This window comes from Homo sapiens, chromosome 19, assembly GCF_000001405.40.
Source record: "Homo sapiens chromosome 19, GRCh38.p14 Primary Assembly".
Classification (NCBI taxonomy): domain Eukaryota; kingdom Metazoa; phylum Chordata; class Mammalia; order Primates; family Hominidae; genus Homo; species Homo sapiens.
In genome coordinates, this window is record NC_000019.10 from 44,611,310 (window position 1) to 44,639,018 (window position 27,709).

General features: G+C 48.0%; 1 protein-coding gene across 1 annotated transcript, besides 2 other annotated features; it reads left to right on the forward strand.

Moving 5' to 3' along the window:
• IGSF23 (immunoglobulin superfamily member 23) lies at positions 2,254-25,472 on the forward strand. The gene is made up of 5 exons (NM_001205280.2): positions 2,254-2,461; positions 12,398-12,663; positions 16,111-16,264; positions 24,092-24,156; positions 25,110-25,472. Exons 1-4 carry the CDS (start codon positions 2,337-2,339, stop codon positions 24,123-24,125), a joined length of 579 nt encoding a protein of 192 aa, NP_001192209.1. The 5' UTR covers positions 2,254-2,336; the 3' UTR covers positions 24,126-24,156; positions 25,110-25,472.
• Positions 3,666-4,167: an enhancer, noted in NCBI's record as "H3K4me1 hESC enhancer chr19:45118285-45118786 (GRCh37/hg19 assembly coordinates)". NCBI's record gives its function as "activates a minimal SCP1, AML or CMV promoter by ChIP-STARR-seq in naive H9 embryonic stem cells {active_cell/tissue: H9 hESC(naive)}" and the evidence as "EXISTENCE:reporter gene assay evidence [ECO:0000049][PMID:30033119]".
• Positions 25,440-25,734: an enhancer, noted in NCBI's record as "tiled region #2639; HepG2 Activating DNase matched - State 5:Enh". NCBI's record gives its function as "activates a minimal TATA promoter and a strong SV40 promoter by Sharpr-MPRA in HepG2 cells {active_cell/tissue: HepG2}" and the evidence as "EXISTENCE:reporter gene assay evidence [ECO:0000049][PMID:27701403]".

A 27,709-nucleotide genomic window follows, 5' to 3' on the forward strand; every position in this document is an offset into this window, starting at 1 on the left:
CCTCGTTTTTAGGCAATCTCTCTACTCATGATAGAAAGATGGCCCCCAGCAGCTGCACACTGAGATCTCTTCAGCTCAGCAAACCCGGAAGCAAGAAAAAATGCTTTTAGGCTGGGTGCGGTGTCTCACGCCTATAATCCCACCACTTTGGGAGGCCGAGGCAGGTGGGTCACTGGAGGCCAGGAGTTCAAGACCAGCCTGGGCAACATAGTGAAAGACTGTCTCTACTAAAAATATGAAAAAATTAGCTGGGCATGGTGGCACATGCCTGTAATCCCAGCTAATCCGGAGGCTGAGGCATGAGAATCTCTTAAACCCCAGAGGTGGAAGTTGCAGCGAGCAGAGATCACACCACTGCACTCCAGCTTGAGCAACACAGCAAGACTCTGTCTTTAAATAAATAAATAAAAATTTAAAAACAGAAAAAAGAAAAATTGCTTTATTCCCCAGAGTTCCAATAAAATCCGTAAGAGATTGCTTCTCCTTGGCCTGTTCTGAGTGCCACGCCCAGGTCTCCAAAAATCACTGTTGTCAGGGGATGAAGTGCTCTGATTGGCCAGTCCTGGGCCCCTCACCTCCCTGGAGCCATGAGGAGGCTGGTTTCCAAAAGAGAACTCCAGGTGCTGTTACCTGGATACAAGAGAGTACTGGCTGGGTAGAAACCCCAGAAACCTTACAACATAATGGTTATTAACTGCATCGTAAATATTTACTTTTTCCTACAGTGGTCTCCTGACCTAGCTAATCACTCCAGCAGAGGCCTTCAGACCAACTATAAAAAAGGCACTTTAGCAAATGCTAATAAAGAAATAACTGTGTCACCTGATAATGACTATTATTAGAGACTTATGGGTGAACCTTAGCCCCTGGGTGGAACCTGAACCTCTCTGGGAGGGAAAAGCATGAGCTTCTAAGTCAGAAAGATCTGAGTTCAAGTCTGAACACTCCCATTTCACTCACTTGCTCTTCATTCATTTATTCACTAAAAAGAAAACATGTAGGCTGGCTAGGTGGTTCATGCCTGTAATCCCAGCACTCTGGGAGGCTGAGGCAGGAGGATCACTTGAGCCCAGAAGTTTGAGACCAGCCTGGGTAATATAGTGAAACTCTATTTCTACAAAAAGAAAAAAAATTTAATTGGCTGGGAATGGTAGTGTGAGACTGTAGTCCCAGCTACTCAGGAGACTGAGGCAGGATTATTGCTTGAATCCAAAAGGTTGAAGCTGCAGTGAGCTATGACCGTGCCACTGCACTCCAGCCTGGCTGACAGAGTGAGACCCCGTCTCAAAAACAAAAACATGTATTGAGCACCTGTTATATGCAAGGCACTGTTCTAGTCACTAGGGACATAGCCACAAGCCAGACAACATCCCTGCCCTCCTGGATCTGATATTCAAGTCGGAGAGGTGGGACTAAGGAGGGAGAGACAGATAATACAAGTGGACAAATAAATAAATCATCTAAAATAGCGGTAAATGATGTAAAGAAAACAAAACAGTGTGGCTTGCTAGCAAAGAGGTGGGGAACTGAGTTGCAGCAGGCATTAAGAAAGGCCTTTTTGATAGAGTGATGTGTGTGAATTAAGCCAAAATAATAAGATACAGTCAGCTTTGAGATTACATGAGTAAGGTTCTAAGGAGAGGGAACGGCTCATGCAAAGCCCCTGAGCTGGTGCCTCCAAAAACTGGCAGAAAGCCCCTGTGAACGGTTGTGTGATGGTAGGTGAGTTACTTAGCCCCTGTGCACCACGAGAAAATGGGGATGCTCATATCTACCCCTCGAGGTTGCTATGAGGATTCAAATTAGGCAACCCTGTTACAAGGTTAATGCTGTGTCCGGCATATAGTAGGTGTTCAATAAACACCAGCTATTAGTTTGAGTAATATAATTATTAATTTGAGGAGGAAAGAATGGACCTGGGGAGTGAGAAGGGTGAGGAAAAAGTAGCTAGTGTAGCTTATCCTTCTAGAATCTAAAATTCAGGATATAGTCTGAGCAAGCTCCTGATAACGGGATTCTAAACATGCCTCCAGGACATCCTAGACACCAAATTATAATTAGCATTGACTTCATAGTGACTGCCATTCGTTGAGCGCCTACTACGTGACCAGGCACTACTCCAAGCACCTTGTGTCCACGGCCCTGTCTGACTCTGGGGCAGGCACTATTATTAACGCCTCCATTTTACAGAGGAGAAAAGCTGTGGTTCAGAGTCCAAAGCCCCGTCACCTCCTACCAGGTTGACCTTTGGCCATTCCTTGCCTTTGATGTGAGTGATAGGAGCGGGCGATTCTGCTTCTCCCTCCATCTCCCGGCGGGGATTGTACGGTGAGAGAATGAGAGCAAAACCTCAGAGCCCCCTTCCCAGGAACCCTGTCCCAGCCTGGTCCCCACCCACCACCACCACTGACCCGATGCTAGAGAAGGATGCGGCTGGAGGTGACTTCCCAGCCAACTTGGTGTAAGTCATGTGGGGAAGTGGCCAGGGTAGGGCATGGTCATCGTGAGCAGGGTCCTGCAGGGTGAGGCCGGGGCTGCAGACGCGACTGTACAGGTCTATGAAGACCCCATGTGTGATGAGGAGACCTTCTCTGCACAGTCCCTGGACAGAACACGAGATGAGGGGTCCTCTGGACGTCAGCTCCAGCCACACCCCTACCTGGAGGAAGCTGCTTTTAACAGGTGCGTTGGAGACAGCGGCTTCACCACGGGCCAGGGACAAGGAGGAGAGTGTCTCCTTACGAGTCCAAGTCACCCCCACTCAGAGCTTTGACCCTGTCAGTTTGAGGCCCATGCAGCTCAGGCACCCAACTCATGAGAACTCTTGAAGGCCACTCCGCCACAAGAGATGACCCTATTGGCTTCTTTTAGGAAGAAGGGAAGTGAGGCGCAAAGAGGAGAACAGGTCACCTACCCAAGATCACAGGGCTGGCAAGGGGCAGGATCAGAATTTGGGACCCCAGCCCAGCCCCCTTCCACCAGAATGCCCTGTCTCACCCCTGCAATCCGCAACTTAGTAATAATACATATAAATAATAACAATCATAAAATAATAACAGCCGTAATAGAAGGTCACTGTAACTGAATAGATCTATATACCAGCCTGTTTGGGGTTTTTGTTTTTTTGTTTTGTTTTGTTTTGAGACAAGGTCTTGCTCTGTTGTCCAGGCTACAGTGCAGTGGCCCGATAATGACTCATTGCAGCTTCAACCTGCTGGGCTGAAGCTGTTCTCCTGCCTCAGCGTCCTGCGTAGCTGGGACCATAGGTATGCGCCACCAAACCCAGCTAATTTTTTATTTTTAGTAGAGATGAGGTCTTACTATGTTGCCCAGGCTAGTCTCGAACTCCTGGGCTCAAGCGATCCTCCTGCCTCGGCCTCCCCAAGTGCCAGGATTACAGGCGTGAGCCACTGCGCCCAGCCTGTCAGCCCGTTCTAAGTGCTTTCCTATAGTAACATTTACCTCTTATCACAACTCTTTGAGATCAGAGCTGTACGATCCCTATTTCACAGAAGGGGAAACTGAGGTTCAGAGAGGTCATGTGCCCTCTCCAGGTCACACACTTGGAAGTGGCAGACTGAAGATTTGAAGCCAGATGGGCTGGCTTCCCAGACCACACTTTCCAGAGACCACACACATCTGCCTCTCAGATAGTGAATGAATTGCTTCCTTATCCAGGTCTTAAAAGTTCACTTCTGAGTTGGGCGCGGTGACTCACACCTGTAATCCCAGCACTTTGGGAGGCCGAGGCAGGCGGATCACGAGGTCAGGAGATCGAGACCATCCTGGCTAACACGGTGAAACCCCGTCTCTACTAAAAATACAAAAAATTAGCCAGGCCTGGTGGCGGGCGCCTGTAGTCCCAGCTACTCAGAAGGCTGAGGCAGGAGAATGGCGTGAACCCGGGAGGCGGAGCTTGCAGTGAGCCAAGATCGTGCCACTGCACTCCAGCCTGGGCGACAGAGCACGACTCCGTCTCAAAAATAAATAAATAAAGTTCAGTTCTGAGCCGGGTGCAGTGGCTCACGGGTGCAGTGGCTGGGATTACAAAGTGCTGTAATCCCAGCACTTTGGGAGGCCAAGGCGGGCGGATCATCTGAGGTCAGGAATTCAAGACCAGCCTGACCAACATGGAGAAACCCCGTCTCTACTAAAAACAGAAAATTAGCTGGGCGTGGTGGTGCATGCCTGTAATCCCAGCTACTTGGGAGGCTGAGGCAGGAGAATTGCTTGAACCCAGGAGGCGGAGGTTGCGGTTAGCTGAGATGGTGCCATTGCACTCCAGCCTGAGCAACAAGAGCGAAACTCCATCTTTAAAAAAAAAAAAAAAAAGTTCAGTTCCATGTAATTTTAAAACCTCAAAGTCCACCTAGTTCAAAGCTTTGCTCTGTCCCCAGCTCAGGCAGGTGTCACACTGGAAGGAGGAAAGGGACGTGGTGGGCCTCTTCCCTATTTTGTCAGAGCTGTTGTCTGAGGCCTCTCTCAGGGCGGAGGGCAGAGGGGAGGAAGGAAAGAAAAGGAGATTGGAAAGTTTCTCCTAGGCTGCTGTAGTTTTGTGATGGAAACACGGCATGCTGTGTGTTGCTGGATCTTCCTGGGGGCGGGAGGGTGGGGTACTTTGGAAATTGGCTGTGCCACTGGATAAAACAGCAACCAGTTTTTAGAAAGTGGTTTACAACATGTTTGCAAAGTGAGCTGGGGGAGCTTACAAAACATTGTCCAAAGGAAAACAAAGCCACAGTGCAACGAACTTCAACTCTGTAAATACAAAATGTTCTCTTGATAACAGCAGGTACCTCGAGAGTGTGACCAGGACAAGCGTAGGGGTGGAGGTCAAAGGGATATTTGGCTTTATATGGGTCTACTTTTTTTTCCTAAGGAGAAGCTCTTGAGTGATTAAAAATTAATTTTAAAAATTATGAAAAACCTTCAAAGAAAATATACTCCCCAAAGTGGTTATCTGAGTATTAGGCTTAAGGATTTGTTTTACTGCTTTTTACTTTACTTTCCAAATTATTCTATAATGAGGAGCAGACGTTGTTTTTTGTGATGCCTTGTAAGAATTGCTGAACATAATTCTACTTTTTGTTTAAAAGAAATAGAAACAGCCAGGCGTGGTGGCTCACACCTGTAATCCCAGCACTTTGGGAGGCCCAGGCAGGCGGATCACAAGGTCAGGAGATTGAGACCATCCTGGCCGACATGGTGAAACCCTGTCTCTACTAAAATACAAAAAAATTAGCTGGGCGTGGTGGCGCACGCCTGTAGTCCCAACTACTCGGGAGGCTGAGGCAGGGGAATCACTTGAACCCGGGAGGTGGAGCTTGCAGTGAGCCGAGATTGCACCACTGCACTCCAGCCTGGCGACAGAGCGAGACTCCATCTCAAAAAAAAAAAAAAAAGAAGAAGGAAATAGAAACAATAACAAGCATAAAGCTTGAAAAAAAAAAACAGTAAAAGTTTCCAAAACATAGTGTTTATTTCTAGGAGTCTAAGTTTTCTGCTATAAAAATGGAAATAAATAAATATATATATATGAGTATATATGAGTAATACCATATATGTAGAGAGAGAGAGGGAGAGAGAGAAAAAGAGAGAGAGAGAGAGGGAGAAAGGTCTTGCTCTGTCACCCAGGCTGCAGTGCAGTGGCAGGATCATAGCTCACTGAAACCTCAAACTCCTGGACTTGAGGAATCTTCCCACCTCAGCCTCCTGAGTAGCTGGGACTACAGGCGCGTGCCACCATGCCCAGCGAATTTTTTATTTTTGTAGAGACAGGGCCTCACTCAGTTGCCCAGGCTAGTCTTGAACTTCTGGCTCAAGTAATCTTCCAGCCTTGCCCCACCCCTCCCCCCGCCCCCGCAAAGTGCAGGATTACAGGTATGAGCCAACACACCGGCCTACTCTTATATTAAAAAAAAAAAAAAAATGCCTATCAGGAGTGAAAGGATTAGGTGTGGTGCCCAAGAGACGCAGGGATTCTTTTTGGGGTGACGAAAATGTCCTTAAATTGCTTGAGGTGATGGTTGCCCAATTCTGTGAGTATACTAAAAGCTCTTGAATTGTACGCTTTAAATGAGTAAATTATTGGCTAAGAAAGTAGATTTTATGTGTTCTCACCACAAAAAAAATAAGTACATGAGGTAATGCATATGTTAATTAGCTCAATTTAGCCATTCCACAATGTATATGTATTTTAAAACATCACATTGTACACCATAAATATACACAATTTGTATTTGTTAATTTTAAAAAGAAAAAATAGTGGCAAGGTTATAACTTAATCAGTGTCCAGAACAAACATTATGTCACCCTTTAAAAATGTACCATTCACATTGATTTATAACCCTTTATTATTTCTAAATAAGGTGGTGAGAAAATGTTGGGTGAGGGGTTGGGTAGGAGTAAATGGAGCAAAGCAGATCCCAGAACCAGAAGACATTAGTAGTATATGGAGAGAGACACTCAACAGGAGCTGTGGGCTGGAACAGAAGGACCCAGCCAACTGTAGGACTAATCCCTTCAAGCTTACTCCCCCGCTGCCCTCTCCTCTTCTGCCAACGTGCCCACTGACAGAAACCAACCAGCAGCAAAAGGTAAGGGGACCCCAACAACACAGCTCAGAGAAGTCAGCCTTTCAGGCAGCAGAGTGGAGCAGAGAAGGGTAGAAAACCAATTTTTGCAACATCCAGTATAATATACGTGCGTGCTTCAAGGGGTCAAGGAGAGGAATCAATGATTCCTCCTCCTTCCCTGCTCTTCCAAGGCGCCCTGCTCACATCCTGCACCTGCTCTGCCTTCTCAGAGCTGCCCTTCTCGGCACAGCTGAACACCTTGACCGAAGGAGCCAGTGTCCATCTTCCTGTCCCCGGAAGGCTTGAAGGCATTCTCACCACGTCTTGGTTCTGAGGGTATGACGCCCAGCCAGCAGCCATGATATTCTCCCCGAAGGGCCTCCCAGGACCTGCTCACACTGGCCGGGAGATGCTGGGAACCCAAGGCAGCCTGGTCATTAGAAAATGACGGCTCAGGACTCGGGCAGCTACACCGTCGTGCTGGAAACCAGCAGGGGACACAGGAGTGTGACGGAGCAGATCCATGTCAAGAGTGAGTGGGGCCCCGCAGTGGGAGGGGCTGACTTCTCAGAAAGCAGACCCACTGGACCTCAGAAGAGCCCACCAGGACACTTTGCATGCTGGTTATCCATTGCTCCCCAATAAACCACCCCAAAACTTAAAACATCAATCACTTATCTAGCTGGACAGTTGTTGTGTTCAGCTGTTGGGGTGTCTGGGTGTTGGCTGGTCCAGAATGACCTCCTTCATGTGCCTGGCCATGGACCAGCTGGTGGCTGGAGTGATGGGGATGAGTGGGCCACATAGCCTCCCAACCTCCAGCAGGCTATCCCAGGCTTGTTCACTCAGCAATGGAAGAGGAACAAGAGGTAAAGCTGCAAAACTCCTTCAGGCCCAGGCTCAAAACTGACCACCATCACTTCTGCCACCTTCTATTGGTCAAAGCAAGTCACATGGCCAGCCCAGCTTCAACAGGAAGGAAAAAGGCCCCACCTCTTAAGGAGAGGAGTTGCAATGTGTTGTGGCTATTTTTTGTCGTTGTGTTAGATTGTTCTTCCATTGCTATAAAGACATACCTGAGACTGGGTTATTTATTTAAAAAAAAAAAAAAAAGAAGAAGACGTTTGATTGGCTCATGGTTCCACAGGTGGAAGTGTAATGCCAGCATCTGCTCAGCTTCTAAGGAGCCCTCAGGGAGCTTTTAATCATAGCGAAGGCAAAGGAGGAGCAGGTGTCTCCCGTGAGAACAGGAGCAAGAGAAAGAGAGAGTCAGAGAGGAAGTGCCACATTTTACAACAATCAGATCTCATGAGAACTCACTACCATGAGGACAGCGTCAAGCCATAAGGGATCCGCCCCTGTGGCCCAAACACCTTTACTGAGGCCCCACCACCAACACTGGGGATCGCATTTCAACATGAGATTTTGGCAGGGATAAATATCCACATTATAACAGCCAAGACTTGCAACAGACATTCATGAGATACGCATTCATCATCACTTGGGAAAGGTAGAGAAGGTCTGGTAGCAGCCTTCAACCTCATCTATATTTTTATCACCTGGACTCAAACTTTCATATCTGAATTAGGAAAACAAAGCCCTGAGAGTAACCAGACCCATCCTCCTTTTAGAAGATAGTCCAGAGACTGTCCTAGTCGGCTCGGGCAAAATACTCTAGGCTTAATCAACAGAAACTTATTCCCTCACAGTTCTGAAGGATGGATTGCAAGATGAAGCTGCTGGCAGGTTTCATCTCCTCTGAGGCCTCTCTTTTTTGACTTGCGGAAGGGTGCCTTCTCATTCTGTCCTTGCATGGTCTTTCTTCTGTGTGTGCACATCCCTGGTGTCTCTCTGTGTGTCCAAACTTCCTCTTCTTATAAGGGCACCAGTCAGGTTGGATTAGGACCCACCCTAACAACTTCATTCTAACTTAATCACCTCGTTAAAGACCTTATCTCCAAATACGGTCACATTCTGAGGTACTGGGGGTTAGGGTTTCAACATATATGTTTGGTGGGGGACTCAATTCAGTTCATAACAGAGATCAACTTAGTTAGGGTTCAGATTCTGATGCTCTAACAAAGACTCAAAAAGTTCCAGTGTCGGCCAGGCGCAGTGGCTCACGCCTGTAATCCCAGCATTTTGGGAGGCCAAGGCGGGCAGATCACGAGTTCAGGAGTTCAAGACCAGCCTGACCAACATGGTGAAACCCCGTATTTATTAAAAATACAAAAATTAGCCGGGCATAGTGGCAGGCGCCTGTAATCCTAGCTATTCAGGAGACTGAGGAAGTAGAATCGCTTGAACCTGGGAGTCGGAGGTTGCAATGAGCCAAGACCATGCCACTGCACACTTAGAACCCCACTTCTGCACAGAGGGGTTTTTACTCCCCTCCCAGAGAATTTATGGACCGCTGAGGTTCATCCATCTGTATTTCTGTGATTTGATGACTAATTTTGTGTGTGTGTGTGTGTGTGTGTGTGTGTGTGTGTGTGTGTGTGAGATGGAGCCTCGCTCTGTCGCCCAGGCTGGAGTGAAGTGGTGCGATCTCGGCTCACTACAACCTCCACCACCCGGGTTCAAGCGAGTCTCCTGCCTCAGCCTCCTGAGTAGCTGGGATCACAGGCGCCCGCCACCACGCCCGGCTAATTTTTATATTTTTAGTAGAGACAGGGTTTCACCATGTTGGCCAGGCTGGTCTCAAATTCCTGACCTCAGGTTATCCACCTGCCTTGGCCTCCCAAAGTGCTGGGATTACAGGCGTGAGCCACCGGGCCCGGCCTGAAGGCTAATTCTTCTAAAGGCCTGGCTCCACACCTTCGCCTATGCCATTCTCAGTCCGAAGGGCCCTTTCTAAAGAGAGAGGTTGCAGGAACTCACGCTCGGTGGTGCAGGCTGTGTGGCCAGAACTCCCTGGATCAAATCCCTCTGGCATCTGTTATGCCCCTGAGTCCCTGCAAAAAAGTAACTTTCTGTTTTGCACTTCAGTTTCCCCATCTGTGCAATGAGGTCATAGTGGAACCTACCTCATAGGGTGACTGTGAGGAGTAAGTGAGTTAATCAGTGCTAAATGCCTACAACAATGCCTGACAAAGAGCAAGTAAATGTTAGCCCTGGCCAGGTGCTATGGCTCACACCTGTAATCCCAGCAGTTTGGGAGGCCGAGGTGAGAGGATTGCTTGAGCTCAGAAGTTCGAGACCAGCCTGGGCAACATGATGAGACGCCCATCTCAACAAAGAATTTAAAAATTAGCCAAGCCTGGTGATGTGCGCCCATAGTCCCAGCTACTCAGGAGGCTGAGATGGAAGGATCCCTTGAGCCCGGGAGGTTGAGGCTGCAGTGAGCTGTAACCTTGCCACTGCACTCCAGCCTGGGGGACACAGCAAGACCCTGTCTCAAAAAAAAAAAAAAAAAAATAGCCCTGTTTGTTTCAAAGGACTTGACTTCTTTGAGCCTTCCTTTTCTCATCAAAATGGGAATAAGGCCGGCACGGTGGCTTACACCTTTAACCCCAGCACTTTGGGAGGACAAGGTGGGTGGATCACTTGAGCCCGGGAGTTCAAGACCAGCCTGGGCAACATGGTGAGACCCCATCTCTACAAAAAATAGCTGGATGTAGTGGCGCACGCCTGTAATCCCAACTACTCTGGAGGAGACTTTGAGCCCGGGAGGTGGAGGTTGCAGTAAGCTATGATTGCACCACTACACTCCAGCCTGAGTGACAGAACAAGACCCTGTCTCAAAAAAAAAAAGGAATAATAATAATTACTTCATAGGATTGTTGTGAGGATTAAATGAATAAATCCAGTGGCTTTCATGAGAAATGCTTTTCACATCATGTCCAGTATATCCCACAACTAACCAAAAGGCAAGTGTAGTAACAGTTATTACTATGAGTAATGCTCTCTGATGTTTTCTATAATATTTCTTTTCATGTTTTGAATGTTGATCACAGTCTACTAATGATTTAGACACCTGGGCATGGGTCTCGCATGCAGTATAACAAGCCATGGATTAACACGTGTGCTTGGCTCACAGTAAGAGCCCAATCCATGGCCGGGTATGGTGGTTCATGCTTGTAATCCCAGCACTTTGGGAGGCCGAGGCGGGTGGATCACCTGAGGTCAGGAGTTTGAGACCAGCCTGGCCAACATGGTGAAACCCCATCTCCACTAAAAATACTAAAATTAGCCGGATGTGGTGGCGGGTGCCTATAATCCAGCTATAGAGAGGCAGAGGCAGGAGAATTGCTTGAACCCAGGGGGCAGAGGTTGCAGTGAGCCAAGCTCCAGCCTGGATGAAAAAGCAAAACTCCGTTTCAAGAAAAAAAAAAAAAAAAGAGCCCAATCCAGGTGGCTGTTATATTGCCTCTTGTTTGTACACCTAGTGGGCTCTTTCTCCTCCTTCAAGGCTTAACTCAGACACCTCCTCCAGGAAGCCTTTCATGAGGTCTCTGGTTGTGCTAAAGTTCTTTTCACTTATAACATTGCATTGAAATCAGAAATCAGCTCTAAGTGGAAGTTCCCAGCACAGTCTGGGAGTTCAAATCCCAGATGTGTCCCTACTAGACCACGAAGCCTGGCCCTAATGAGCCCCAAACCTCAGAGCCTTTCACCTGAAAAATGCAGACAAGAAGTGGGGACCTCTTGGGTCACCTCCTCGCTGGGCTGTTTCCACTCCTCCAAACTTAAAGTCAAGTTCTCACATGATAGCCAGAGTGAGCCTGTTCAAACCTAAGCCAGCTCACGTCCCTCCTCTGGGCAGTCCTCCCATGGGTCCTACTGCACTCAGAGTCAAAATCAGAGTCCTCACCCTGGCCCAGGAAACCCCAGCATGATCTGCTCCCATTATCTCTCTGACTTCTTCTCCCAGCCCTCTCTCCCTTTCCCTCCTCTCTATGCCCACCTTGGCTCACACCCATCTCAGGGCCTTTTACTTGGTGTTCCCTCTGCCTGGAACATTTTTTTCTTAGGAATCCACATGGCTTATTCCTCTGCTTCTTCAGGACTCTGCTCAAACATAACCTCCCCAAAGAGGTCCTCCTTGACCCACCTTACCTGAAACGGGTTTACCCCACCCCCAGTCCAACCCCACAGCCCTGTGCAGTTTTCCTCACAGCCCTTACCACCACTATATATACTTGTCAGTTTGTTGACCCTCTCCTCACTCAATCGTAAGTTTCATGAGGGCAGCAACAGCGTCTGTTTAATCACTGCTGAGCCCCCGAGTCCTAGAGCCTTAGAGTCCTAGATTTGGTTCACCCAGATCCAGAGGCGAGGATTCAAGGACAGATAGTCTGTTTGGGAGGTGCAAGGAACTCGAGAGTGGGGAAGTTAGGCAGAGAAGGCAGGAAATAATAAAAGCTGTGTTCCCAAGCTGGTTACCATGGGCAACTGGAGCACAGTCCCATTGGGGAACTCAGGCCCTGGTGTGGAATGACTCTGCAGAGTTATCCCACATAGCAGAGAGGGAGCTGGGGAATTTATATACCAACGTGTCCTGGCATTGTGGAGGGCTGCTCCCTGATGTGCTCATTCCCCAGCACTTCCAGCCTGCTGCCTCCATGGGCAGAGTAGGCTTTGGCCACCAGTGAAAGTCCTCAGGCAACGGGATGCAGGTGCTGGCCGTTGGAAGTGGGAAGGGCAAGGGGTTGGACTGGGGGCACTGGGCACAGACCAGGCTCTTCAAACACATTCATGGGTGAATTAATGAATGAATGAACACATGAAAGAATGGATGTCTCTATGGTGGGCAGAAGAAATGCCCAGCTTTTCTGAGTGGACTCCACTCTTGTGGCCTTGTTCCCTGTTTGCACAGACAGCCTCCAACTAATGCCACTGAAGACATTCCCAGCTGCTATCCGGGGAGTCATCCAGAGTGAGCTCAACTATTCTGTGATCCTGCAGTGGGTGGTGACAATGGACCCTGAGCCTGTGCTGAGCTGGACCTTCAGTGGGGTGCCCTGTGGGATGGGAGAGAAGCTGTTCATCCGACGGTTGTCCTGTGAGCAGCTGGGCACCTACATGTGCATAGCCACAAACAGCAAGAAACAGCTGGTCTCTGAGCCTGTAACCATCTCGCTGCCAAGTGAGTCCCCCATTCCACCCCACCCCACCCCACCCAAGAGCCCTGCACCCTCTCCAGCCTGTGGCAGCCTCTATGATTCCATTAAGCCACCTACTATGAGCAGTCCCCTGTGAGACCCTTTATAGGCAAAATGTCATTCCAATGTTCCATCCACCTGGCGGACTGTGGATTATTAGGCCACTTTCTTCTTCTTTCTTCTTTCCTCTTCTTCTTCTTTTCTTTCTTCTTCTTTTTCTTTCTTCTCCTTCTTTTCCTCCTCCTCCTCCTCCTTCTTCTTCCTTCTTCTTCTCCTTCTCCTTCTTCTACTTCTTCTTCTTCTTTTTTTTTTTTTTGATAGAGTCTTGCTCGGTCACCCAGGCTGGAGTACAGTGCTGTGATCTCAACTCACTGCAACCTCTGCCTCCCAGGTTCAAGTGATTCTCATGCCTCAGCCTCCTGAGTAGCTGGGATTACAGGCATGCACCACCACATCTGGCCTATTTTTGTATTTTTAGGAGAGACGGGGTTTCACTGTGTTGTCCAGGCTGGTCTCGAACTCCTGGGCTCGAGTGATCCACCCACCTTGGCCTCCCAAACTACTGGGATTACAGACATGAGCCACCTCGCCCAGCCAATTAGGCCATTTTCAGATGACAGGCTGAGGCTCAAAGAGGTTAACTATGATGAAAGCCCAGCTTAGGATCTGGACCAGGCTACCTGGGTCCTTGGCTCCAACCATTTGCTTGTTACATGAACATGGGAAGCCTCTTTGCCTCTCTGAGTCTCAGCACATACCTACAAAAAATGCAGATCAAAATCTAAGGAGTGGGCCAGGTGCAGTGGCTCACACCTGTAACCCCAGCACTTTGGGAGGCTGAGGCAGGAGGATCACTTGAGCCCAGGAGTTAGAGACCAACCTGGACAACATAGTGAGACCCTGTCTCTACCAAAAAAAAAAAAAAAAAAAAAAACTAAAAATTTAATCAGGCATGGTAATGCCACCTGTAGTCCCAGCTGCAATGGGAGGATCACTTGAGCCCAGGAGTTTAAGGCTACAGTGAGCTGTAATCGCACCACTGCACACCAGCCTGAGTGACAGAGGATGACTGTCTCAAAAAAAAAATCACCATTGTCATCATCTAAGGAGTGGTTCAAAGCAATGGCTTTGGAATTTGAATCCCTGGCTGTGTGACTCTGAGCCAGTGCCTTGACTTCTCTGTGCCTCAGTTTCCTCATCTATAACACTGGGAAGATAATAGTGCCTACCCCAGTGTGTAGTTGTGAGCATTCAATGAGATAAGCCGGTGAATAGCTTAAAACAATAATGTCTAGCACTATCGAACACTAATGAGTGCTCAATAACCGTGAGCCAATAACACTGTTGCAATTAGCATTGTCATTATTAATTGTAGCTATTACCATATACAGTCGGTATATGGAGCCCTAGGTGGCAATCAAAATGACAGCAAGTTGTTGAGATCAGAGAAGTGGTTTGGGACCTGGTCAAAACTCAGTTCAGTCCCTGTTCCCGTGCCTTCCTGGCTGGGTAACTTAGCGCAAGTGACTTCCCCTCTCTGAGCCCCAGTTTCCTCATGTGTATAATGGAGGTAATCCTATATACCTCTTCAGGGTTGTTATAAGGAACGAAAACAAGGGGTGACTGAGTTTGGCAGAACAACTGTCAGGCAGCAGGTGCCTTGAATAGCAGCTGTTATGGTGAATATTGTTTTTAGTGTGTTATTCATGGAGGGACACATGGTGATATGGTTTGGCTGTGTCCCCACCCAAATCTCATCCTGAATTGTAGCTCTCATAATCCCCATGTGTCATGAGAGGGACCCGGTAGGAGGTAACTGAATCATGGGGTCAAGTTTTTCCCATGCTGTTCTCGTGATAGTCAATAAGTCTCACGAGTTCTGATGGTTTTACAAAAGGCAGTTCCCCTGCACACATTCTCTTGCCTGCCGCCATGTAAGACATGCCTTGCTCCTCCTTCACCTTCTGCCATGATTGTGAGGCCTCCCCAGCCATGTGGAACTGGGAGTCCATTAAACCTCCTTTTTTTTAATAAAGTACCCAGTCTCAGGTATTTCTTCATAGCAGTATGAAAATGGACTACCATGGCTTGGAGTGAACTAGAGGTATGCAGAGGAACTGGCCAGGAGAGAAGAGAGGGAGGGTATTTGGGGTAGGAAAGAATGCATGAGTCAAGGTTCAGAGCTGGGACATGGAAATGGAATGCGTGATGGGAATCTCAGCTTGGCTGGGTCCCAGAGAACCACCTCACCTCCCTGGCCAGGGTCCAGTGGGAGCTTCAGGGCTGATGCACTGGGGGAAAAAATGTAAATCTTATATCACCTAGTGACCCTGATATTCAGTGAGAAGGACAATACTTCCAAGACCTCCTTTGCTCATTCATCAACTGCCCAGGAAATGTTTATGAGCACTTGCTGTGTGGCCAGCCCACACAGCTGGGAACACTCTGGTGACCAAGACAGCTGCAGCCCTGCCTTCACAAGACTTACAGTCCAGTGTCCACAGACAGTGATCACCAGAGTGGGCAGGGCTGGGATGGGGGAGCCCAGAGAGCTATGAGACTCAGCCTAGGAGTTAAGGAGGGCTTCCTGGAAGAAGGGACACCTGAGCTGAGAATTATGCTTAGCTGGCCAGGTACAGTGGCTCATTCCTGTAATCTCAGCACTTTGGGAGGTTGAGGCGGGTGGGTCACTTGAGGCTAGGAGTTTGAGACCACGCTGGCCAACATGGTGAAGTAGATGGTGAAGAAGATGGTGAAACCCCATCTCTACTAAAAATACAAAATTTAGCTGGGAATGGTGGCATGTGCCTGTAATCCCAGCTACCAGGGAGGCTGAGACACAAGAATTACTGGAACCCAGGAGGTGGAGGTTGTAGTGAGCTAAGATTGTGCCACTGCACTCCAGCCTGGTGACAGAGGGAGACTCTGTCTCAAAAAAAAAAAAAAAAGGAATTATGCAAGCCAAGAGAGAGAGATGGCATTCCAGAGAGACAGTGCAGCATGGACAGGCCTGGAGGCAAGAGAGAAAGAAAGGGATGAGCTTGGAAAATTGAGTGGAGTCCAGGGTTGCATGGCTATAAAGGCAGGGCAATGAGAGAGATGAGGCTGGCCAGGTGGCAGGGCCTCGAAGGCTAAGGTGAGAAACTGACTTCTGCCCCAGGGTGCTGGGAAGCCACAGCAGGGTTCTGAGCAGGGGAGGAACAGGGTCAGGTGTGAGCTTTAGAAAGATCCTCCTGGCTTCCATGTGGTAGGAAGGTGGATGGGTGCTGGACTAGGGCAGGAGAGCAGGGAGGAGAGGGGGCCAGAGACCTGGAGGATGGAAGAGAAGGATGGATTGAAGAGACACTTGGGAGGGGGAATGGCAGGAGGGAGGGGTGCACAGGGAGGGCGGGCAGATGGCTCCTCCAATCTCACCCCTCCTTGGTCCCCAGAACCCATCATGCAGCCCACAGAAGCAGAGCCCATGGAGCCAGACCCCACTCTGTCCCTGTCAGGAGGCTCTGCCATCGGGCTCCTTGCGGCTGGGATCCTGGGAGCCGGGGCACTGATTGCAGGCATGTGTTTCATCATCATCCAGAGCCTAAGGTACCTCTATCCCTCACCCCCGTCCACTGGGCAACATCCACTCAGCCCCCATGGGGCACAGAGCTGGCTCAACAAGGAAACAGAGATGAAACCAACACCCCCATCAGGGAGGGTGATAGCGACTCCTGAGGAGCCCATCTGACTCACTGGTTTCCAAAATGGGATCACAGCAACAAAGAGATAGAAGAGGACACTAGAGCTGGGCTGTCTGGCTTCAAGTCCCAGCTCTGTAACTTACTAGCAGTGAGGCTGTGGGCAAGCCACTCCCCTTCTCTGTGCCTCAGTTTGCCCATCTGCAAAATGGGGATGATAATAATAGCATCTGACTCTCTGGGTTGTTGGGTTGGGTTGTTGTGAGTGAATTTTTCTTTTTCTTTTTTTTTTTTTTTGAGATGGAGTCTTGTTCTGTTGCCCAGGCCGGAGTGCAGTGGTGCGATCTCGGCTCACTGCAACCTCTGCTTGCCAGGTTCAAGCAGTTCTCCTGCCTCAGCCTCCTGAGTAGCTGGGATTACAGGTGCATACCACCACGCCTGGCTAATTTTTGTATATTTAGCAGAGACAGGGTTTCGCCATGTTGGTCAGGCTGATCTCAAACTCCTGACCTCATGATCTGCCTACCTCAGCTTCCCAAAGTTTTGGGATTACAGGCATGAGCCACTGCACCCGTCCAGTGAGTGAATATTTCTAAGAAACTTAAAGCAGTGCCTGGAATGTGGTAAGTACTATGTTCGTCCTCTCTACACATATCTGCAGTGACCGCTCTGTGCCAGGCACTGAGGATACCGAGGGAAGAAACAGCAGAAAGACCCTGCCCTCATGGAACTTGCATCCTGGTCGGGGACACCATCAAGAAACACAATGAATGAGTGAAATATAGATAGTATATTGGATGGGCCAGGTGTAGTGGCTCACACCTGTAATCCCAGCACTTTGGGAGGCCGAGGTGGGTAGATCACTCGAGCCCAGGAGTTTGAAACCAGCCTGAGCAACATGACAAGACATCTTGTCATCTCTCTCAAAATATAAAAATTAGCCAGGCATGGTGGCATGCACTTATAGTCCCAGCTACTCAGGAGGCTGAGATGGGAGGATCACCTGAGCCCAAGGAAGTCTAGACTGCAGTGAGCTAGGATCATGCCACTGCACTCCACACTGGACACAGAGTGAGACCCTGAGTCAAAAAAGTAATAATAATAAATCTTTTAAAAAAGATAGTATGTTGGATGAGCGCTAAGGAGAGGAGTGAGGCTGGGAAGCAGGACAAAGATTGTGGAGTGGGGTGGCATTTAACGAGTCAGGGAAGGCCTCCCTGGGACAGTGACATTTGAACAAAGGGAGGGAGTGGGGAGCCACGTGAGGGTCTGAAGGAATGGCATATCCAGCAGAGGGAACAGCAAGTGCAAAGGCCCTGAGGCAGGATTGCCTGGCATGTTCAGGAAATAGTGAGGAGCCCAGGGTGGCCAGAGTGGTGTGAAGAATGGGCAGAGAAGTAACATGTGGGTCAGAGAGGGAGTAGGGAGGCAGGGGAAGGCAGCTAGACCCTTGCATAAGGCCTTGTAGGCTCTCTGAGCACTTGGCTTTTGCTCTGAGTGAGATGGAAGCCATGGAGGGTCTAGTGCAAGGGAAGGATGGCATCTGACTTATATTTGATCCTATATGTTGGCTAGTACTACAACGCTATTAATATCTTACCATCAGCAAGGCATGGTGGCCCACATCTGTAATCCTAGCACTTTGGAAGGCCAAGGCAGGAGGATCACTTGAGCCTAGGAGTTTGAGACCGGCCTGGGCAACATAGTGAGACCCCGTCTCTACCAAAACTAAAGTTTTTTTTTTTTAATTAGCTGAGTATGGTAGCACGTACCTATAGTCCCACCACTTGGGAAGCTGAGGTGGGAGGATTGCTTGAGCCCAGGAATTTGAGGCTGCAGCGAGCGATGATCGTGCCACCACACTCCAGCCTGCTTGACAGAGCAAGACCCTATTTCTAAAAATTAAAAAAATAATGTTTTTAAAAAACTTGATCTTACCATGTATTGAGCACCTATTATATGCTTTCTTTTTTTTTTTTTTTTTTTTGAGACGGGGTCTCACTCCATTGCCAGGCTGGAGTGCAGTGGTGCAATCTCGGCTCACTGCAACCTCCACCTTCTGGGTTGAAGTGATTCTCCTGCCTCAGCCTCCCAAGTAGCTGGGACTACAGGCGGGCACCACCATGCCCAGCCAATTTTTGTATTTTTAGTAGAGACGGAGTTTCACCATGTTGGCCAGGATGGTCTTGATCTCTTGACCTCATGATCTGCCTGCCTTGCAAAGTGCTGGGATTACAAGCATAAGCCACCAAGCATTACTCTATTTAATCTCCATAAGAGCTGGGGAGGTGAGGGGGCTGTGGTAGGGGTGAAGATCTCATTTCAGTCCAGAGAGTAGTGATCTGCCCAGGGCCCACAGCTGGAGAGAAAGGATTCAAGCCTAGACTCCTGCCTGCCACTTTGTTCTAGCTCCTGTCTACACTGCCTTTTCCACCATCAGTAACTGTACAGACCTCTGTAATCTATGTTGTGAGGAAGAGAAATCTGTAGGTGGTAGTGGTTTAGGGAGACATTGTGGACCAGCTGGGAGGAACTGGGGCCAGGTCTCCATCCATGAGTCCTGCACACAACCATCTAGGGGCAAGGGAGGGCCAGCCTGCAGCCTCGGCCACCCAGATTGCCTTCATCATTGTGGCAGCTCCGATGTCCTGGCCCCTCAGCACGTACCAGGTGCTGAAAGCCCCAACTCTCAGGGCTAGGTGCTATTATTGTCGTCATTTCCCAAGTGAGTAGAGCTAACGCTCAGAAAAGCTCATTAACTTGCCCAAGGACACACAGCGAATGAATGGCTGGCCCTGAATCAAACCCTGATCTAAGTCTACAGAGGGGAAAGGTGAGGAGTCAGGCTGGCATGAAAATCCTCACCCAGGCACCTCAAGTCCCTGCCCTCATGAGCAGGCAAGAAGGGTCACTTTCTGTCTTCCCCGCCCTTGTGGCCAAGACCTATTTAGTTGTGAGCAACAGACTCCTGGGACAAGGCCAATGGGGGCATCAGCTGGAAGGAGCTAGCCTCATCCAATCAGCTGTGACCTTGCAGATGAGGCCACGTGTCATGGACATGGCTGCCTTGACCCTCCCAGTGAGGAGGAACATTTCTCAGAAAAGAAGTGTATATGGGCTAGGCAGGAACCCCATGCATGCCTACCATGCCCACCAAGGGCCAGGAGAGATCCCCATTGTTTGTAGTTGAGGAGAGGGACCTGAAGCCAGGCTACTTATATTCACATCTCAGCTCTGCTGTACATGACCTTGTGGAATTTGGGGGAGCCCTTTAACCCCTCAGTGGCTCATCTGTAAAACAGGAATATGGCAGTGTGTGGTGCTCACAATTGTAATCCCAGCACTTTGGGAGGCTGAGGCAGGAGGATTGCTTGAGTCCAGGAGTTTGAGACCAGCCTGGGCAGCATAGCGAGACTCATGTCTCTACAAAAAAAAAAAAAGGAAAAGAAAAATTCACTGGGCATGATAACACATGCTTGTGGTTCCAGCTACTCGAAAGGCTAAGGTGGGAGGATCGTTTGAGTCTGGGAGTTCGAGGTGGCAGTGAGCCATTATTGCTCTACTGCACTCCAGCCTGGGTGACAGAGTGAGACTCTGTCTCAATAAACATTTTTTTAATTGAAAATAAAAATTAAAAACAGGCTGGGCACAGTGGCTCATGCCTGTAATCCCAGCACTTTGGGAGGCCGAGGCAGGAAGATCTCTTGAAGCTAGGAGTTCGAGACCAGCCTGGCTAACATGGTAAAACCCCATCTCTACTAAAAACACAAAAATTAACAAGGCATGGTGGTGCATGCCTGTAATCCCAGCTATTTGGGAGGCTGAGGCAGGAGAATCATGCCAAGACCAGCTCAGTCAGGGAAACTCTAACCCAGCGGTGCTAGAGGAATTAAAGACACAGAAATATAGAAGTGTGAAGTGGGAAATCAGGGGTCTCACAGCCTTCAGAGCTGAGAGCCTCAAACAGAGATTTACCCACGTATTTATTAACATTAGCATTGTTTCTATAGATTTTAGATTAACTAAAAGTATCCCTTATGGGAAGCAAAGGGATGGGCTGAAATAAAGGCATGGGTATGGCTACTTATCTGCAGCAGGAGCATGTCCTTAAGGCACAGATCACTCATGCGGTTGTTTGTGGTTTAAAAACGCCTTTAAGTGGTTTTCCGCCCTGGGTGGGCAAGGTGTTCCTTGCCCTCATTCCAGTAAACCCACAACCTTCCAGCGTGGGCGTCATGGCCATCATGAACATGTCACAGTGCCACAGAGATATTGTTCATGGTCAGTTTCGGGGCCAGTTTATGGCCAGGTTTTGCGGGGGGGCCTGTTGGTGCAATTTAAGCTAAACATCCCTTTAGGGGACCAATTAATAATGATTCCATAGGAATCGTTGTGCAGCACCTCTGCCTGTTCTGCAATGCAATCTTCCTAAACAAGTATGTTCATTTTTTCTGGCCAGGTTCAATTTTGTTACAGATAGGTTTTTGAGGGCAGTATGCCTCAATTATAGGAGGAGATTTGTTATGGTAAATACTGAGATCAGAAAGCACATGTAACTGTGTCATAGAGTGATTACATCCAGGCATTATTGCCAGCCAAGATTGATGAATATGCCTAATAAGTATAATTGTTCTCTGTGTCAGCCCTTCTTTAAGGAATACTCACGGCAATGGTGATTACCACTATCATAGCTACCATTACTCATTCTGAGTGGTTGTCCCGCTTTCCTCAGGTTTTCTTCCATCATCTGTGACAGCTTCTTGATCTGTCTCCAGCTGGGTGGCTGTGTTCGACGGGTGTTTCTCGTGACAGTTGGGGTCCTCCTCAGCATCAGCCTCGACATGGCTGCAACCGGGGGGTCCTCAGGATCCTCCCGGAGTCTCTTCCTTGGCATCTGGCTCATGCTAAAATTTCAGGTGTCTTGATGGTATCCAAATCAGCTGTTCATGTTGGCCTGGAGAAACACAAGCATAACCAACACCCCAAGTTATTATTTTACCTACTTCCCAACTTTTTGTTATTGGATCTCTCCACCAAACCAATTGTTCTGCTTCTGTCTTTGCAGCTGGTTTCTGTAGATGCTGTTCAGCTGCTGATAACATCTGGCCTTTGGGCAGGCTCAAAAAATTTAAAGTTAATAATGCTAGACTCAATTGTGTATGGGCTGTCCCATAATCCCTGTTTCTCCCTCTTTTTTGTTTTTGTCATCAGTTGTTCATCTGTATGAAATCATAACTGAGCATTTTCAATTAACTGTGTGGAATGAACCACGTATGAAGAATCAGAAATCATATTAATAGGCATATCAAAAGCAGTCAATACCTCAATTACACCTACAAGCTCCGCTTTCTGAGCTGAAGTATAGGGCGTCTGGAAAACTTTACCTTTCAAGCCAGAATAAGAAGCTGTACTATTACTAGACCCATCTGTAAAACAATGAAAATGCTTAGCAGGCTACAGTATGTAAATGCAAACCGTTCACAGTCTTGCTCAGCTAAGGGGATAGTAAAGAAACAGTCTTTTAAATCTATGACTATTAAAGGCCAGTTTTAAGTCCTCTGAAGCCTCCAGTTTCTCTTTACTCAGCGGCCACTGTTCTAAACATTTTAAAGGTATAGGTTCTGGAAGCTTAACAATGGCTGCCATCAAAAATGATATTCTAATCTTTGGCGGGAACTTTGTCTTTCCGCTTGAAGCGGTTCTTTCAAACCTTGCAAATTTTTTTCTAGTCTCATGCTAGGGACATGCCCCATTTCATGCATCATATGTTGATTTTGAAGGATATATAATTGTTCTGGAGTTAGAACTTGTGCTCCCCATTGTTGTAATAAATCTTTCCCCCACAAAGTTATAGATACAGAAGTTATAATTGGTTGAATAGTCCCAAGTTGTCCATCTGGCCCTTCAAAATGCAAAATATAGCTACTTTGATATACTTCAGGGGCTTTACCAACTCCAACTATGTTAAATTGAGTGGGTTGAATTGGCCACGTGGACGACCAGTGCTGTAGAGAAATGATTGAAATGTCCGCTCCTGTATCTGCCAAGCCTTTAAATTTCTTTCCCTGAATAGTTATTTCACAGGTGGAATGTTTATCAGTAATTTGATTTACCCAATAAGCTGCTTTGCCTTGTTTCTTTGTGCTTCCAAATCCTCCTGTTCATTTAATTTCACTTTTCCCCATTCCCACATACGGCACAATCAGGAGCTGTGCTGTGCGCTCTCCTGGCTCTGCTTTCCAGGGAACAGAAGTAGATGTAACAATTTGAATTTCCTCATTGTAATCTGAATCAATGACTCCTGTATGTGTTTGTACCCCTTTTAAACTTAAACTAGACCTTCCTAAAAGTAATCCTATTGTCCCCGCTAACAAGGGTCCACAGACTCCTGTTGGGACCTTTTACGGGGGTTCCCCAGGCAGAAGGCTCACAGCTTTTGTGCAGCATAAATCTACTGCGGCACTACCGGCTGTGGCGGGGGACAGACATTGTACGGGTGTGAGGGAATGGCCTGAGCTGGAAATGCCCCAGTTTGGAATGGGGCCCAGGACAGGCCCCTCATGGCATTTCCTGAAATCAGGTTCCCTTCTTTATCAAACTTAGAGTGACACTGATTAGCCCAGTGTTTTCCTTTTTTACATGTTGGACATATTTCAGACTCAGCAGTTTTCTTTTTTCCCCTATCTGGCAGCTGACTTGCTGATTATTTCTACATTCTTTTTTAGTATGAATAGCTTGTTTAAATTCTTTGAGTAATTTACAAGGAAAAGGCTCAAATGTAGCTATAATATTTCCCTGTTGATCTGGGGGGTGTATTCTAACAGGGAACTGCCAAGCCTCTAAATCACCTTCTCTTCTAGCTTGCTGGATTCCTGCCTGAATAGAACTGACAGCAGTCGCTCCAGGCGCTGCTCGAACAGTCACTGGGGCAACTACTTTTCGCCCAGCGTCCTCCAGAAAAGAAAGAACTGGAGGGTCAGGCCACTATTTATGGCCAGTTTTGGGGCCAGTTTATGGCCAGATTTTGGGGGGCATGTTCCCAACAGAATCTCTTGAACCTGGGAGGCGGAAGTTGCAGTAAGCCAAAATAGCGCCACTGTACTCCAGCCTGGGCAACAGAACCAGACTGTCTCCAAAAAAAAGAAAAAAGAAAAAAAAAAAAAAACCCAGGGATGTGATTATACTTCCCTCCAAAGACAGGAGTGAGGATTAAGTAAAATGGTGGGAGTCATGAGCTGTGAACAGTGCCTGGAATGTGATGAGCCTTCAATAAACCTCAGCCATGTGATGATGATGATTGTATTAGTTTGCTCCAGCTGCTGTAACAAAAATGCTACAGACCGGGGGGGCTTAAACAACAAAAATTTATTTTCTCACAGTCTGGATGCTGGAAGTCCAAGATCAAGGTGGCAGCCAGTTTGATGTCCCATAGTGCCCCTCTCCATGGCTTGCAGAAGGCCACCTTCTCACTGTGTCCTCACGTGACCTTTTCTCTATGCTCATCCCTGGGGTCTCTTCCTCTTCTTGTAAGGATACCAGTCTTATTGGATCAGGACCCCACTCTTATGATCTCATTTAACCTTACTGTGTCTGAAGAATCTATCTCCAAATATAGTCACATTGGAGGGTTAGGACTACATATTAATTTGGGGAACGGATAATAATTCAGTCGATGATTCTTATTCTCTCTCTCTCTCTCTCTCTCTCTCTGTCTCTCTCTCTCTCTCCACTGCAGGACTGACAGGCAGAGAATAGGAATATGCAGCTGAAATGTGGGCAACTCTCCTGTCAGCTGAAGAGGTAATACCAGGAAGGGTGTGAAGGAAATCCTAGGTTTGGGAACAGAAAGAAGTTCTTGGGCAGAGACTCCATATGTGATTTCCTCCCTCCTGGTTCCCTGGTCATTTGTCTGTGAGATGTTCCCCTCCTGTGGAGAGCTCCAGGAGCTGCTTTTCTCTTCTTTTGCCAACTGCCAGCACCCCATCTGCCCAGCTCATCAAATTCCTGGAAGCTGCCTAAACAAGCAGTCTATATTTCATAAACCTCTTGGGCTCCATGCAAAAGAAACTCACTGACGTAGCTCAGGAAAAAATAAAATGAACAGTTTAATATAAGGACCTATGAAATTTTTCAGCAATCCATAGGTGTGAGTCAGCATTTGCTTTGTAACAAACTGCCTCCCCAAAATTCACTGGCTTGAAACAACAGCCATTTATTTAGCTTGCAATTTCATGGGTCATCCATTTGGGCTGGGCTCAGCTGGGTAGTTCTGGTCTCTGCCAGGCTCGCTCCTGCATCTGGGGTCAGTTGACAGATTGCCCAGGGGCTGTCTGGACTAGGATAGCCTCATAGCTGGGACAACTGGCCTCTCCTTCATGTTGTCTCTCATCCTCCAGCAGGGTGACCCAAGCTTGTTCACATGGCAGAGGCAGGATTCCAAGAGTAACAGCAGAAACTTCAAGGCCCCTTAAGTCTCAAGCTCAAAATGGACATGCCATCACTTCTGCCACAGAAAGGACTTCATTGGCCAAAGTTACATGACTGGCCAAATTCAAGGGATGGGGAAGTTGACTCCACCTCTTGCTAAGAAGGGAAAAATCTGTGGCCATTTTTGCAATCTACGAAGAAATGTGGAAGTACACACAGCTCTCTCTGCCAGCCTCCCCCACACACACACTTCACCCCCACCCCAAGCCCTTACAATTCCTTTCCTCCTGCATGTGGAATTTACAGTTCTCTGTCTCTCTCTGCAGATGGGTGCTTTGTACCTCTCTATCCACGTGGAAAAAAAAACCCATCCCATAGCTTCCAAGTCTACAACATCTCTGTTCAAGGGAACAACCCAACGTAACCAGACTCCCTTTGCCCTGTTTCTGAAACACCTGAAGAAAACATCTGATGGGTTGACTCGGTGCCATCCTTGGTCCCATCGCCGTGACACGTTGTGCAAGCAAAGCATCAGAGGCTCATCCCTGTCTGTGGGAGCTCAGTGCTCAGAAAACAGGGGGGAGGTTTTACCTTGGAAATTGGCCAGACCCCAAAATATGTCTTTTACACATGCTGCTTTTTTTTTCTCTTTTTCAAAAAGAACCAAAAAATAAATTAAAACACCACCACTTCTGAATGGTTTCTCATGAAGCCTCTCTTCCTGAGAGTGGGAGAGGCATGTTTGCAAATAAGATCAACCTTTGAGCTTTGCACTGTTCAAGTTTAATACCTCTCCATAGGAGGATCCTGACAGATAGCAGGCACAGGGCACACAAGTATGGCTGAAACTCCTCTGGGGGATATATCTCACATTTGAGGAAAATTCGGTGCTTCTGTGACCAACACAGAACCACCTAACATGGCATTCTGCTTAGCAATAATAGTAGCAGAACTGAGTCCAAGTCTTGTCTGTTGAGGGCTCTCCATGTGCCAGCCACTGACTATTTACCTTACATGATTAATGTGTCATAGCAGGCCAGGCGCAGTGGCTCACACCTGTAATCCCACCACTTTGGGAGGCCAAGGCAGGTGGCTCACCTGAGGTCAGGAGTTCAAGACCAGCCTGGCCAACATAGTGAAACCCCATCTCTACTAAAAATACAAAAATTGGCCGGATGTGGGGGCACATGCCTATAATCCCAGCTACCGGGGAGGCTCAGGCAGGAGAACCACTTGAACCCAGGAGGCAGAGGTTTCAGTGAGCCGAGATCATGGCCACTGTGCTCCAGCCTGGGTGAGGGAGTGACAGTATCTCAAAAATAAAATAAAATAAGTAAGAGATGTTAGCCAGGCACGGTGACTCACGCCTGTAATCCCAGCATTTTGGGAGGCCAAGGCGGGCAGATCACCTGAGGTCAGGAATTCAAGACCAGCATGGCAACATGGTGAAACCCTGTCCCTTGTTATCACACGAATGGGGATGTGGCTTGTGTGCTGCCTAATCTTGCCTAGAACTAGGTGTACCTGCGTTCTTTTGCTTATGGCTTTACCCTTGGTTACCCTAATTCCCTATTCTCCTGCCTCAAGAGGTGACCACAGCAGCCCTGGGCCTGCCCTCCTAGGGCTTATAGTACAGTGAGGGAGACAGACCTGTTCCCAGTGATGACCCAGAGTCATCACTCTCCTCTGGGAGGCCAGGGGGGAGTCTTAATGGAGACTGGAGGATCCAGGAGGGCTTCCTGGTGAGGGAGGGGTCAGCTGTACTAGAGAACAACATTAAGATCATTAATAACAAGAGCAGCCAGATGGCCGGGCACGGTGGCTCACGCCTGTAATCCCAGCACTTTGGGAGGTGAGGCAGGCAGATCACGAGGTCAGGAGATCAAGACCATCCTGGCTAATACAGTGAAACCCTGTCTCTACTAAAAATACAAAAAATTAGCTGGCGTGGTGGCAGGAGCCTGTAGTCCCAGCTACTCGGGAGGCTGAGGCAGAAGAATGGCGTGAACCCGGGAGGTGGAGCTTGCAGTGAGCCAAGATCGTTACCACTGCACTGCAGCCTGGGCAACAGAGCGAGACTCCGTCTCAAAAAAAAAAATAAATAAATAAAAGAGCAGCCAGGTCTTCTGGTTGGAGTTGGTGTTTAAGAAAAATAAAATTTAAAAATTAAAATTTTTTTGGCCGGGCACAGTGGCTCACAGCTGTAATCCTAGCACTTTGGGAGGCCGAGGCAGATGGATTGACTGAGCTGAGCTCAGGAGTTCAAGACCAGCCTGGCCAACATGGCGAAACCTTGTCTGCTAAAAATGCAAAAAAAATTAGCCAGGCGTGGTGGTGCGGGCCTGTAATCCCAGCTACTTGGGAGGCTGAAGCATGAGAATCGCTTGAACCCGGGAGGCAGAGGTTGCAGTGAACCAAGATTGTGCCACTGTACTTCAGCCTGGGCAGCAGAGCAAGACTCTGCCAAAAATAAAAAAATTTTAAAAATTGTTTAAAGAGCAGCCACGTCTCCATAGTGGTAATTGTCAGGCATCGCACCAAAGAGCTTTAATGCGTTCTTCTCAAACAGTCCTCCCACTTCAGCCTGCCAAAGTGCTGAGATTTCAGGTTTGAGCCACTGTGCCATGCTATGCCCATTTTTCAGATAAAGAATCATAAGCCCCAGGAGACATCAATAATAATTGCTGCCATTTGTTGAGCAGTTAAATAAATAACTTTTTAGACCATATATTTCTTTTTTTTTTTTTTTTTTTTTTGAGACAGAGTCTCACTCTGTTGCCCAGACTGGAATGCAGTGGCATGACGTTGACTCACTGTAACCTCCACCTCAAGTGATTCAGCCTCCCAAGTAGCTGGGATTACAGGTGTGCACGACTACCACCCAGCTAATTTTTGTGTTTTTAGTACAGATGGGGTTTCACCATGT